Here is a 15,212-nt window from a genome sequence, read left to right on the forward strand (position 1 = left end):
TAGCCAGATCCTCCCCTATCAAACCTTATCTTCTTCCCCACCTCAGTCCAGCAGCCTCAGGGTGAAGTCTCATATGTACTCTCCCAGTTCCTGTCAGCACATGTTGGATCTGTCTTGTGACTCCTCTGAAGTTTAGTCTCCTTTCCCCTCAAGAGGCCCAGCAATTTCTCAGATGAGCTATGCTATGACTCCACCATTGCTTTTGAACCTCCAGAAAGAGAGGTTCAGCTACATCCTGAGGGAGGCCCATACTGTCATCAAGATAAGGCTTTTGCATTGCTGTCAATCAAGAAGGGAGAACTAGCTGTTCCACAGAAAGGAAGGGGTGGGCCGTGTCTACAAGAGTGTTCATTGAAATCTATGTGTTAAATGTTTCAACGTGTTTATCTAAGTGTCAGCACCCTCAATTTCAGAGTCCTTCTTCCAATTAGGACCCTCACTTTGACCTAGTGGACTTGCTGAAATTGAGATTTAAACTGCCTTTGAAGGGCAATTACCCTTAAAATACTGTCCTAGGCATCCTCACCTTTTTTTCTCTTTGCCTTGGAGTACAGTTTATTATCCCCAGTGAGAAAATCCTAAATCTAAAATGCTCTAAAACCCCAAAATTTTAGAGCACTGACATGATACCACATGGGTGGCTGAGATAGTGACAGTTTTGCATTTTGATGGTTCAGTACACACAAACTTTGTTTTATGCACATATTTATTAAAAATCCTGTATAAATTACCTTCAGGCTATGTGTATAAGTTAGCTATGAAATATAAATACATTTTGAGTTTAGACTTTGTCCCTATCCCCAAGAGATCTCATCACGTATATGCAAATATTCCAAAATCTGAAAAAAAAAATCCAAAACCTGAAACACTCCTGGTCTTATTTTGGATAAGGGATATCCAACCTGTGTATGAAATTATCTGTATATGTTTCCAAGGAGGACTTCTGACTTTCAAACTTAACTTTCAATTAGTGGTTAATCACTCTCAGTCTTTTATTGTCTTTTGCCTTGAGCTATAGACATTTAATTATTCAATTCCATCACTCTTATAATCACCACATCTCCTAAATCTCTCTGAAGCCTGAGGTATTGCACCTGCTAGTACATTCCCATTCAGTACTGTATTTCCCTGCCTCAGCTCACTATGGATGGATGCTGTCAGAAGTGTACTGAATCCCTCGGGCTCCCATGCTTCCCCTATCACCTGCGACGGGATCTGCAGTGCCAGCCCCATAAGATGATTCAACTCCAAAGTTTCATTTTCCAGTCTGCTTTCTTCGACCACTTCTGCAAATTCCCTAAGTAGCTGTGTTTTCATGAAGAAAATGTACTTAGAAATGTTTTCTATAATACGGACTTGGAAGGAGGAAAGCAAGAATGGACTTGTGAGGTGGTGGCTGCAAAAACCAAGGTTGATGCCATTGGCATTCTGCAGTGGGAGTGATCCTTTGGAGTTGTACAAAATTGAAGACAAAGGGCTTTTGTACATACACAACAATCTTTCCTTGGCCATGGGTTGCCTCTGGAAAACGAATATCATATTGGGAGAAGCAGCTCCCCTATGCCAAGAGGACTCAGTTGTGTGCTGTGGGTAGATGACGCTTTCTAAAGCTGGGAGAATGAGTGCTGTGGTGATATACCTTACAATCTGTGTGTTTTAGTCCTCAAGAGGTTACAGTAGAATCTATATCTGAAACAGTGAATGGGCATTAGTTGGATGAGAGGTGTGGGAGGTGGGGGCAGAGGAGAACTGAGCGCCCCAGGGTGAGAAAAGGCTGGATGCATAATGCATTCACATTGAGCTTCACTGTGGGGTGTCATGTCGTATAATGTAACACCAGTCACCCTCATTTCCTTTTAACAAAGGTTTTTCATTTGTGTGAAGTTGATGGCCTAGAAGAGTTGAGAGAAATCCCTTGCAATCTTGCCAGTGGCAGAAAAAGGGAGGAGTAGAAACACCAGAAAAGGGAAAAGGAATTCTAGTGTCAAGGACCTACTATGCTCCTGTGTCTTTGCAGCCTCTGAGAGAGAGTTAAATAAGAAAAATTCATGCTGCTGCAGACCAAGAGGAAATTGGATAATGCAACAGAGAAAGTGTCAAGGGGTCGATACCATTTGCACAATGAGGAGTCTTTTTCAGTTGAACCCAACTTGTTATCTACTCTCTTCCTGCCCCAAATCCTTATGAATCAAAACACCCCCATTTGTCATCCCATAGGAGAGAGAAACAATGCTGATCAGAGAGGCCAAGCTACCCACTGGGGGACAAGCAGGAAAGAGGTGCCAGGTCTGAGAATAAAAGCCATAGCCAGCACTGCACAGTGACAACTATGGAGACAGGGTCTCCTAATGCCACATGAAGTTGCCAACTCAGATTGCTGAAAGTGTAGAAACTCAATTCTTTCAGTACTGAAATTGTACACCTTGACCAGCTGCCCAGAGAGAATTCAAAGTCCTCTGTTGTTGATAAAATAGCCCTGACATGACCCTCACGTTGAATGCACAGGGGGCACCTCCTATGTGCCTGGCTCTGTTCCGGCTGCTTTTTACACATACCAAGTCACGAGATCTGGCATGCTGTGAAGTGAGCACTGCTAGCACCCCACTATACAGATGAAGCCAATGAGACACAGAGAGCTGAAGGGATTTTTCCAAGATGATACAGCATGTTAATGGAAGAGCCTGGGTTAAATTCAGGCATCTAGGGATACATACTCAAGCTGAAAAATATTAAAGTAAGAATGTGATTAATCAGCTGGGCGTGGTGGCTCACGCCTGTAATCCCAGCACTTTGGGAGGCCGAGGTGGGAAGATCACAACGTCAAGAGATCAAGACCATTCTGGCCAACATGGAAACCCTGTCTCTACTAAAAATACAAAAATAAGCTGGGTGTGGTGCTGCATGCCTGTACTGTAATCCCAGCTATCTGGGAGGCTGAGGCAGAGGAATCGCTTGAAACCGGGAGGCGGAAATTGCAGTGAGCCAAGATCGTGCCACTGCACTCCAGTTTGGTGACAGAACGAGACTCAGTCTCAAAAAAAAAAAATGTGATTATCATAAAAGTTAGGTTAGGACAGGGTTGAGGAGGGTACTAAGAAAAGGTTTTGATTGGAAAGAGGAACGTGGGCTGTTACAAAGTTCAGAAGATCCCACTTCTTGATGGGGTGATGCTTACATCAGGGCTTCTCACCTTCAGCACTGTTGACTCTTTGGCCTGGATAATTCTTGGTTGTGAGATCTGTCTTCTGCAGCTAGGATGTTGACCAGCATTCATGGCCTCCTCTAACTGGGTACCAGAAATACTCTCTCATGCAGTTGTGAAAACAAAAATGTATCTAGACTGACAAATGTCACTTAGGGTGCAAATTCCCCCACTAGTTGATAACCACTGGTTAGCTATGAAGTTTACACAACCAGAATTGGTGATGCATACATTTATGCTATGCACATTTCTGCACATTTGCTATATTTCTCATTAAAGTAAGTTCAAACAAAAAATATCTAGTGTAGTACTTTGTATGGACTAGGTGTTAAAACTGTGATTTTCCATTCCTCTTCCAGATCCAATATTTTGTATTTCTGAACATATCTAGGAGGACTTCTATGCCATTTCTCTGCCTGATCCCAGCTCCACATCTTCAAACCCTGCTTTAATCCAAGCTGATATTGTTATGTATCACTTCACTTACATCATTCTATTTTCATTGTTTTGTGAGTTCTTTTCTAAAAACTAATTTTGGAAAACAGTTAAACACACAAGAGAGTAAATATCTAATACTACAATTAATACCCTTGCACTCCTGTCAGATGAATGAATTTTAAGATGCTATCTCATTTGCTTCAGAGATTTTCACTAAAAAAAATAAATACTACAGGTGTCCTTTCCTTTGTACCCTTCCTCACACCATTTCCCTTCCTTTAACCTCAGAGGAAATAGTCACTATAAAATTGCTATGTTTTATTTTTTCTATAATTCTGCCATATATGTGTGTATGTCAAAAAACAATAAAACAATGTTAACACAATTATTGTAGCTAATATTCCTTGAGCATTTCCTATATCAAAGTCAGCCCAATGCTTCATTAACATTATCTTGTTTAATATTCAAAACAAACCTTTGAGATAGTGATATGGTTTGGCTGTGTCCCCACCCAAAACTCAACTTGAATTGTATCTCCCAGAATTCCCCCTTATTGTGGGAGGAACTCAGAGGGAGGTAATTGAATCATGGGGGCCAGCCTTTCCCATGCTATTCTTATGATAGTGAATAAGTTTCACGAGATCTAATGGGTTTATCAGAGGGTTCAGCTTTTGCTTCTTCCTCATTTTTCTCTTCCCGACACCATGTAAGAAGTGCCTTTCACCTCCTACCACGATTCTGAGGGGTCCCCAGCCGTGTGGAACTGTAAGTCTAATTCAAACTCTTTTTCTTCCCAGTCTTGAGTATGTCTTTATCAGCAGCATGATAACGGACTAATACAGATGGCCACTATTATTTTTCTAATTCTTCAGTTAAGCAAACTGACACATGAAGATGCTAAATAAGTTTCCCAAGCTTACATAATTAAATTTTACATAAATGTTAAATTTTGCAGAAATGTTATCAAGCGGACTTTATAATTTTCTATTTACTCATCTGTTTTTCTGGTAAACTTTGAACTCTTAAAGACACTGTATTCCTTTGTTTCAGTGTCCATGGGGGCTGCAGCAAAGAACACTGGATACATGAACACACAAATGTGTAAGAAAATACATGAATCAATAAATCAATAGACCGATGCAATTTCTCTCATGCCATATCCTGTTTTCCATCCAGCTGCAGGGTGCCCTTCTCCATTCACCTTTCTTCTTGTTTCTCCCATGAACGTGTCCTCCCTGTGCCCAGCACAGCAGACCAACTGTGCTCCCCGCTTAAAATTCTCTTTGCAGTCAGTGCATCAGAGGCTGCTTTGAAGAGCAGGTGCAGGGTGGAAGTGAGTCAGGGGACATCACATGCAAGTCTGAAGTGGCACCAAAGAGGCCTAGGGGTATTATTAAAAATGTGCCCTGGCCTTATCTAAGGCAGACATTGTGGGACAGCAAGGAGCCCTTAACAAAACGCCTGGGAATATCAGTCTGGCCACTTGGAGGGCCATTACCTGGACAGACTGGGTGAACCTGAAAACACACCGAAGCACAAAAATATGTTTTCCTATTAAGGAGGCATTTTGTATCGATGCTAACTTTTATGTTTAGTATGTTTAGATGAGAGATCAAACTTGCCTGAAAATGAGGATAACAGTACCCACTTGGTAAAGTCAGGAAGCACATTTAATGAGCTAATGTGCATAGTGCACCCAGCGTGGGGCCTGAGGACATGTCAGTCCAGTGAATGTGAGAACAACTGCTGGTTCTCCCAGGGCAGGGTTTCAGCCACTCCTCACCAGATCGCAGCCTCTGCTCACAGCCCCACAGACACACGCAGCTTCCACGCAGCTCCCTGCCACCTCCTTGAGATGCTCCCCCTTCAGATCCCACACCTCCAACCCGACTTCATTTTCTAGATAGCAAATTCCTACTCCCTTGTTTCAAGGTTGAGCTCAGTCTCTGTCTTCATCACCCATCTACCTGCATACTGTCCTGTTTGGGAACAATTCTACATCTACTTTGTGATTTTAGGGTAACAGGGAAGTCCACATGTATTGCTATACCCATTCTGTTGATTATAATTGATTATGTGAATAACCTTCTATAATTTTAATTACAGTGATAATAACAATAGTGATTTTCCTTGTCTTCTGCCTGGCTTGGCTTTACTGTCTGTCCATAGCACATAGCACTGTCCAACAATTTACACACTTACTTGCACTCACTTATTGTCCTCCCTTCACCTAGAATATAATTACTCTCTGGGAAGGGCCTCTGGCTGGCTTGGTCTCTGCTGTATTATCTCAGCCTGTGTCCAACATACAATAAATGGCTGCAGATTAAAGGCAGACACTGAGCTCCGACCTTGAGTTGAAGAGTGTGGTAAGGGCTCCAACACTCCTACGGCATAAAGCCTTCAGAAATCTTATAGCAGCCATTGTTATTGCCTTTGATCAGAGTGAACGCAGGTGGGATGGCAGGAAGTGTGAGGAGCCAGGGCTGTTCAGGAGTTTCAAGCATTTAAAGGTCATTCTGCTGAGTGAGTGGTGAGAGTCAAGGTTGGACACAGCTGGGTCTTGGGCCTCTGCATGTGTCTTTTCCGCTAAGTCATCTTCCTCTGCCACTAGACTCACAGGGACTCAAGAGAAAAGACCCAGTCAAATGTGTTTTGTAGACCCAATGCCCATAACAGTGCCAGAACCTACAAGAAAGTACATGATGAATGAATGAATGAGCTGATGAACAAATAAAACTGGATAAGCCCCTTGGCAAATGGACTGAAAGGAGATAGAAACAAGGAATCCTGGATTTGCAGACGGGATCAAACAAGTAATTCCTTCAGCCTGATGCTGTCCAGAAGCCCGGAGGACCTCAGAAGCGTGGGGATGAAGATTCAGTGACTGGCCCTTAGCATGACTATGAAGATTCTAGGATCGGCCCTGCCAGGCTGCTGGGCTCAGGAACACGGCGCGCTGCTGCCCCCCTGTGGCTCAGGTCGTCCAAACATCGAGTCCTACATCTGTGTGCAATCTGCACTTGGGCTTGTCAACAGTAAACAGAAAACTTCTGTCTTTTCACCCACAGGTTAAAGTAACGTAGGGACTTCAGACACCATTTCTTGTAAAGTGAGGAGACACTAATTTAGCTTGGGGGAGTGTTGGAAAGCCTTTGTATGGCAGATGCACCTGACATTAATAGCTTAACTGAAGAGCATGGCCGTGAGAATGACCCTATGGCCTAAAAAGAATGTGTGCTCAGAGTTCTGAGCTAAGGAATCTGAAGTGGCCAACTTGGAGATTCATTCAGTGTCTACAAGGCACATCTGAGCCCCTGGCCCATCCCATGGAACCTGGGCCATACAGGAGATCAAGGCCTTTTGTACTGGGTTAAATGACGATTGCTAGGTGGTGGTTCTTATGGGAAGTATGAAAGTCATCTCAATAAACCCTATGTCTCATTCACTGGCTCTGGCTCTCTTCATCAGTCTCTGGAACATGGTGCTATCCCCACTGAAGGCAATGGAGGTCCAGCACAGCAACCCCTCACACATAGAACTTGATCCAAATAAGCTAATGCAGGTCCTTTAGCAAGTAGATGTACAGGTAATAAGAGTCGCTTTGTCTGAGATTAATCAAGGAAGAACTACCAAATGAAAGGATTCCTATATCCTTTGTTCTATTGTTTTTCAGAACTTGAATTTTGCAATGCTGAGAATTTTATGTATAGTAGACTTAGGAATTCAGTGTTCTGATCTTAGGGTGATAAGCACTTGAAAATGTAGAGCTGCTACTGATGGGCAGATGGAATGGTCCACATAGAGACAGAAGGTCCCATTTCTAAGTTGTGCTGAATTGTCATACAGGATTAAGCGAAACTTTTCTTACCATAAACAAATCCTATTTATAATAAAAAACACTGCAATCTTCAATATATCACACAACTATGAATTTCTTTTGTTTTACAAAGTAATTTTTTTGTTTCAGTGTTTATTTGTCCTTGAATATGACATTTTCCATAATCCTAAATGTGCCTCAGAGGGCATATTTGAAAACTTTATTAAGTAACCTATCAAAGGTGATATTGACTACACAGCTGAATCAGAATCATGTGTCATTACATGTTGAAAAGAAGTCAGAGAACTCTATTCCAATGTTTTATTTCTGAAATGGCAGAATTGTCACTTGACCACAAGCAGAAAGTAGGTACTAAAAGAGAAATTTGAATAATTTCGGGTTCTTCCAATGCCACACTGTTGTATTTCAACTTAGAACTGAATAGAAAAGAAAGGACATTTATTAATTGTTTTCTCTGTATCAAGTACAGTATTGAGCAAGGCATTTTGCATCCATTAACCCAGTAAACATCACTGTGATGCAAAGGAAAAGAGTGTTTGGTTATCTATTGCTTTGTGACTGATTGTTCCAAAGCATACTGGCTTTAACAACAATTATTTTCCTCATGATTTCATAAGCTCACTGGGCTCAGGTGGACAGCCTTCACTTGGATTCTTTCAAGTGGTTGCAGCAAGTCAGGGGTTGCATAAGGAGCCCTCTGAAGGCTTAAAATGGGCTGGTATCCAAGATAGCTCATTCACATGACTGGCGTTTGATGTTGGTTACTGTGGATCTCAGATGGAGCCATCAAACAGAGACCCTGTGCATGGCCTTTCCTTGTGGCTTGGGCGTCTTGCAGCATGGTGTCTGGGTTTAGAAAGAGGGTGTCTCAAGAGTGAACATTCCATGAGGAAGAAAGGTGAAGGTCCTGGGTTTAGAAAGAAGGTGTCTCAAGGGTGAACATTCCATGAGGAAGAAAGGTGAAGGTCCTGGGCCAATTAATGGACATGGCTAGAACTGGCGAGACATGATTTCCACTGAATTATATCAGCCAAAACAGTTACAGAGCTAGCGCAGATTCAGTGGAGTGAAGAATGAATTTCACTTCTTGACAGAGGACTGATAAGGTCATATAGCAGAGGATTATGTGGGATGGGAGATATTTCTGGGGTTATATTTAGAAAATATAATCTACAGTTCACATGTATCCCACATGCACTTATGGGGAACCCACACTTGGGCTTACTACTCCCCCAAGGAGTGTTTATGATGAAATAGTAAAAATAATAAATACATATTTTATAAACATTATCTGTTTGTAGTAAATTTTATTGAAGTTGATTCTCTTAGAAAGAAGACACAGAAAGAACTCTTTTTGAGATAGTCCTCTCCCTGGCTTGGCCTTAGAATGAGGGTGCTATGGAAAAATACCCTTAAGTTTCTCCATCGTCTCAACTCATCCTATTACAATATCAGTTCAAACCATAGGGTCTCACTAGCCCGACCAGATCCACATGTGGGTGGTCCTCCTGGCTGGGTGGGTGAGGAGGATTCCAAGTAGAATTTCTAACAATTTGAGGAACTATGAACTAAAGACACAAGTCATTCACTCTACACACATCAAACCTACAATAGGGGAGAGAATGCCTTCAATAGACATTTCTACTAAGAGGATAAAAATCAGAACGTGCATTGTAATTACTGGTCCATAGCAATTCTGAAATTTGGTTGGAAAGTTGTTGCCAGTCTTAGGAATAGAGACCAGTCCTGCTTCCCATGTCATTCACAGTGGCTCTTGACTCCACCCTCTGAGTCATCCATTCATTTTCCACAAGAAACAGCCTGCACAGGCAGTTGAGTGTCTTCTTTATTCTGCTCTTCTGTCCATATGATGCCTGAGGTCCAGAAACTTCTTTCCATTTTGGACTATCTCTGTCAATGTTTGTCTAAGGAGACAGTGTTTGTGATGGAATAGTAAAAATAATAAACAGATATCTTATAAACATTATGTGTTTGTAATAAATCTTACTGAAGTTGGTTCTGTTAGAAAGAAGACACACAAAGAACTCTTTTTGAGATCGTCTTTTCTCTGGCTTGGTGTTAGAATGAGGGTTCTATGGAAAAATACCCTTAACTTTCTCAGAAGCCTCTGTTTTATGGTTGAAGCAGACTATGAGTAATATCCTTCTTAAATCTGAAATCTTAACAACAGTTTTACAACTCTTGTTCTCTACCCTGTGACCATGTCTTTCTTTGTGGTGTTTTGCTGTCTGGAAAGACTAGTTATGAGAACCAGTTTTAGCTTTGAACCCCATATGTCCTGGATTTTTTATACTCCTCTAAGTCCTGCTTGAAAATTGAACAGTTACTTTTTCAGCTTCACTTTCTCTATCTGTACCTTATATGTGGCTCAAAGAAATAATTTGGCATTTCCATCATTTTGTCTTCTAAAGTTTTTAACTAAACACATCAGTTTATTATTTGTATACAGTACATTTCATGTTACTATTAGCAATATTTTCTTTCAACTTTTTATTAGCATATATTGTGTTTCTCAAGGTTCCTATAATAGTTTTATCGCTGTTTTTCCAGCTCTCCCCAGGTGTTTATTTAGAACCTTCATCCCAGTCCTAAATCCAGTGCCAACTCTTTTAAGCAGGATTTCACTTCATTTCTGGTACCAGTTTCTGTTCTGATTACTTATGGTGTAACAAAACACTCCAAAACATGTGACTTAAAATCATAATTTATTTCTCTTTTCTCATAAGTATGAAGGTTGTCTAGGCTCCGGTGAATTTTGTTCACTTGAGGCCTGTCATGCTGTTTCACTCAGATGGTGGCTGGAGGCTCAGGTGGCTGAACTTAAACTTGATTTATTACACGCTGGGAGTTGATGATAGCTGTTGGCTTACAGATAAGCTGGGGCTATTGTATGGTGTGTCTAGACCTTGAGCTTCTCAAAACATGGGGTCTTGGTTCTGAGCTGGAACTTCCCAAGAACAAGTTTTCTAACAGGCAGTCAATGGTCATTGCCAGTCTAATTAAGTGCTATGCCTACAATGTACACAGTGTAACTTCTGCTGCATGTTGTTGGTCAAAGCAAATGCTAAATCCACAATGATGGGCTTCATCTCTTGGTAGGTTATTACACAATTACATTGCAGAAAAGCTTGGGGAATAGGAGATAGAATTGTGGCCAACTTTGGAATATACGATATGCCATAGACGCACTGCTCTATTTTATACATTAAAAAACAGAAAAGTGCTCACCCTGTTACTCAAAGAAAGTGCTCAGCAATTGTAGTTCTCATCAATATTTTCCCATCTAATGCAATATTTCCATCACCTAAAAGCATAAAATAATTTCTTCTATCTTAAAGTAAAAACTTTCAACTCTATCTTAATCTTCAACCAGCACCCTATCTTCTTCTCTTTATATCAAACTATCTCTTTTCATTCTTTCTTAAATCTACTCTGATCAGGTTCTTCTTCCCTCTCTACCAAACTGTTCTTGGCAACAACATCAGTAATTTTCACTTTGTTAAACTCAGTGGTGAATGGTTCAGTCCTCATGTTATTTGACCTATCTGCAACTTCTGAAAGGGTTGACTGTTACCCTTTAAGGCACTTTAATTAGCTTCCCCCAATATTATTCTCACATGACTTACCTTCAATCTCTTTGGCCACTCTTTCTACTTTTGCATTCTTAGCTTCCATTTATTTCATAAGTTGAGAGTATTGGAGACCAGAAGTCTCAGCACTTCATTTTGTTCGTTTGTATTTAAAAAGTATATTTTTACTTTTAGTAATATCATCAAACATCATGGATCTGAATACTCCGTATGTGCTTATGTCATTTAAAATTATATCCTCAGATCTTGCTCTGGATTCCAGACTATATTTCCAACTGGCTACTCAACATATCCAATCATGTCTAATAGACATCATATACTTAAAATATGCTCAAAACTGAACACTTTCATTATCCCCCAAAGACACCTATTATTTAGATTCCTACCTCATTTGATGGAAATTCCATTATTCTATGAGATTATACCAAAAAAACGGACAATTATGAATTTATCTCTTACTCTCAAACCCGATGTAATCCATCAACAAATCCTCTCTATCTTCAAAATACATCTAGTATATGAACATTTCTTATCATTTCCACTACTAATATCCCAGTCCAAATTTTTGTCAAAATCATTTCAATAGCCTCTTTGACATTTTCCTTTATTCGAACTTATTCTCTATAATCTATACTCAACAAATCCGCAAGATTCATCCTTGCAAATCAAGTCAGATTATTACACTTCTCTGCTCAAACCCTCCAAAGGCTTTCTATCTTAGTCAGTGTAAAACTCTTCCCAATTACCTATAAGGCCAATATAATCAGCTTGCTAACAAGTAGCTCATTGGCATCTCCTCATAACTCTACCATGTATTGAGATCAGCACTTTTGTCTCATGCTGACAGATAAAGAATTTAGCAGCAGGTGTAGCTAGATCAGCCATAGGAAGAGGAAACCCATGCTTCTAAGCCCATGCATAGTATGTAATCCTGACACCATGGCTACTCTGTTCACAGGCCCCTACATAACAACAGGGGTTGCCAAACACAAAGGGGGTCAACATCCAGTGGGATGTGCACCTGTCCTACAGGTGTTTCAGTTCCTCATCTGTGGCACATTCTCTCTGGTTGGCATCAATGCAAAACACAAAGACCCACACACTCTGTGCCCACACCAAAACACCCTTCCACACTTTTGTTCCACAGACCACTTTATCTCTTACTTCTTAGATGACTTGTATTTACAAAGAAATAAACAAACAAACCCTGAAAGCTTACAGAAGTCTATTATTTCATAGCCTACAATCACCTTGTTCAATTGCTTACAAACTAAGATAATAAATATTTATTGATAGAGTGAATAAGTGAGCCAGGTTCTGTGCTACAAGGACTCATTCGTCTTACGTATCTGCTCACCAGCTCTTTTTTTTTTTTTTTTTTTTTTTGAGACGGAGTCTCGCTCTGTCGCCCAGGCCGGACTGCGGACTGCAGTGGCGCAATCTCGGCTCACTGCAAGCTCCGCTTCCCGGGTTCACGCCATTCTCCTGCCTCAGCCTCCCGAGTAGCTGGGACTACAGGCGCCCGCCACCACGCCCGGCTAATTTTTTGTATTTTTAGTAGAGACGGGGTACCAGCTCTTGACGTATATATGATTATCCCCAGTTTATTGCATCTCTCAAAGGGAAAGTAATGGCAGAGCTGTTAACTGGCAGGGCTAAGACGGGAATCTAAGTAGGTATGATGCAAACCCTCCTTGATTGAATAGCATGGAGCTCAGCACGTGGTGGGTCTCATTAAAATCATTTTATGTCCCTTTACAACACAAAGGATGATACTCACAAGCATGACAAAGATCTGATAATGAGGTTTATGTGGGAGGGATTTATGAAATATAAAATGCTATATAAATGGCCAGGTCCATAGTAAATCACATTGAACCCTACTTCTCAAATGTACCTGCTATTTTATGACATGAAAGTCATGAAATTATAATGTTAGTGACTACAAATTGAGATCTCAGAGATGAAAGTGTGGAATACTTTCATTTTGCAGATGAAGGAATTAGAATGCAGGAAGATGAAGTCAGTTGCTTAAAATCAGCTCAGAGAACCAGGACCCAGGTTTAGTTCAATTCTCTTTCCACTATAACATGCACCTTTATTTTTATTTATTTATTTATTTATTTATTTATTTATTTGAGACAGAGTTTTGCTTTTGTTGCCCAGGCTGGAGTGCAATGGCTCGATCTCGGCTCACTGCAACCTCTGCCTCCTGGGTTCAAGCGAGTCTCCTGCCTCAGCCTCCCGGGTAGCTGGGATTACAAGCATGGGCCACCATGCCTGGCTGATTTTTTTGTATTTTTAGTAGAGACAGGGTTTTATCACATTGGCCAGGCTGGTCTCGAACTCCTGACCTCAGGTGATCCGCCCGCCTCGGCCTACCAAAGTGCTGGGATTACAGGCGTGAGCCACCACGCCCGGCAACATGCACCTTTAAATGAATATTTCGTTTTATTAATTTATTTCAATAAGTTGAGTTCCATCTCCCAACTTTATTTGAACAGAATTAACCAAACTGGTTAAAACTTAAGAGAGTTAACAAAGCACGAATGATTTTCTTCCGCACTGCACACCCCATTCAGACCCACTGTACCCACTAGGACAGGATAGTGCCAGGTGAGCTCAATTTCCTTACCTGGGTTTCCAATACAAAATGTGGGTTTGTTCAGGTCTTTAAACTCTTGGCTAGCTCCTCAAATCTGCAGTTCTCCTGGATTGGTACCTCACTTATTTTCTACTCCTAGTTTCTATGTTTCATGGTTGTTTAAATTGCAGAAGTAAGGAAAGGGAGAGTAACATTTATTAATCAATTTCTATGTGCCAGTTTACTTAGCTTTTAAACAGGATTCTGTTTTGTTTGTGTGTTGGTTTGTTTGTTGTGATGGAGTCTTGCTCTGTCATCCAGGCTGGAGTGCAGTGGCACAATCTCGGCTCACTGCAACCTCTGCCTCCCGGAATCAAGTGATTCTCCTGCCTCAGCCTCCTGAGCAGCTGGGACTACAGGTGTCTGCCACCACACCCAGCTAATTTTTGTATATTTAGTAGAGACAGGGTTTCACCATATTGGCCAGGCTGGTCTTGAACTCCTGACCTCGTGATCCACCTGCCTTGGCCTCCCAAAGTGCTGGGATTACAGGCATGAGCCACCACACCCGGCCTAAACAGGATTCTTTAGTTGCCAACCATAGAGACCAGCTCTGACAAATATAAAGGAAAAACTATACATGGAGATTATTGAGGGGAGAAGGGTTAGTTCAAAAGTTGAAGGCAGGTCTCACAAAGGAACACATGACGTAAGAAGGAAATGAATTAGTATATACAAAGCTTTTAAAACAGAATTGGCAAGGGTTATGGACATATTGGTAAATAAATGAATAAAATAAAGGGCTGATGCCCAGGCAGTTCTTGGGCTTGGCATAGCAGAGACTAAATAAGTTTCTTTTGATGTCACCACATTTTTAAAAACTGAGATTAAGATTATGAAACTTTCCCAGAGTCCCATGGTTAATGAAGAAAAGCTAACGCTGATTGCCTATAGTGTATGAGGCCTGCTCTATGCACCCATTGTTTTAGGGATTCACAGAGCAAGTGTCCCAGCTTGGTTCATAATCCCACCCCCTGGTCATGGTAAGATGGGGCACCTTGACTGAGTGTCCTACCAATATTGCATGTCAAGACAACAGAGGCAGCTCCTCAATGGAACACTGCTGGCATGGAACATAGTGGACATGAAGCCTGGGCAGCCCAAAGGGGTGCTTGCTACTCTCCATGTTCTTTCTAGTGTACAAGTCATACAAACATATTATGGCTTGATATTAGGCTTTAAATGACCACTCCCGAAGATGAGGACTCACACAGCTGTGAGATTTGTGATAAATCCTGTTACTTCCTTGTGCTCTAGCTTCTTGTTTATAAAATGGATAAAAACCAGTAGCCACCGTAGAGGGCTAGAAGAGGATCCTTGAAAAATGGATTCATAGAGCAGGCCTCACACATTTTAGGCACTCAATTAGTGTTAGCTTTTCCTCATTAGCCATAGGACCCTGAGAAAGTTACATAATCTTAGTAAACCTCAGCATTTCTCTCTTTATCTCTTTAAAATGTAGTCAATCTTATCAGC

The 15,212-nt window shown here is 41.2% G+C and overlaps 1 long non-coding RNA gene across 1 annotated transcript in view; it reads right to left on the reverse strand.

Annotated features, from left to right (window-relative positions):
- Positions 1-15,212, reverse strand: part of LOC401478 (uncharacterized) — a 273,872-nt gene that overhangs the window by 74,797 nt on the left and 183,863 nt on the right. The gene's annotated exons all lie outside the window — the stretch shown is intronic.

This window comes from Homo sapiens, chromosome 8 (genome assembly GCF_000001405.40).
Source record: "Homo sapiens chromosome 8, GRCh38.p14 Primary Assembly".
NCBI lineage: Eukaryota > Metazoa > Chordata > Mammalia > Primates > Hominidae > Homo > Homo sapiens.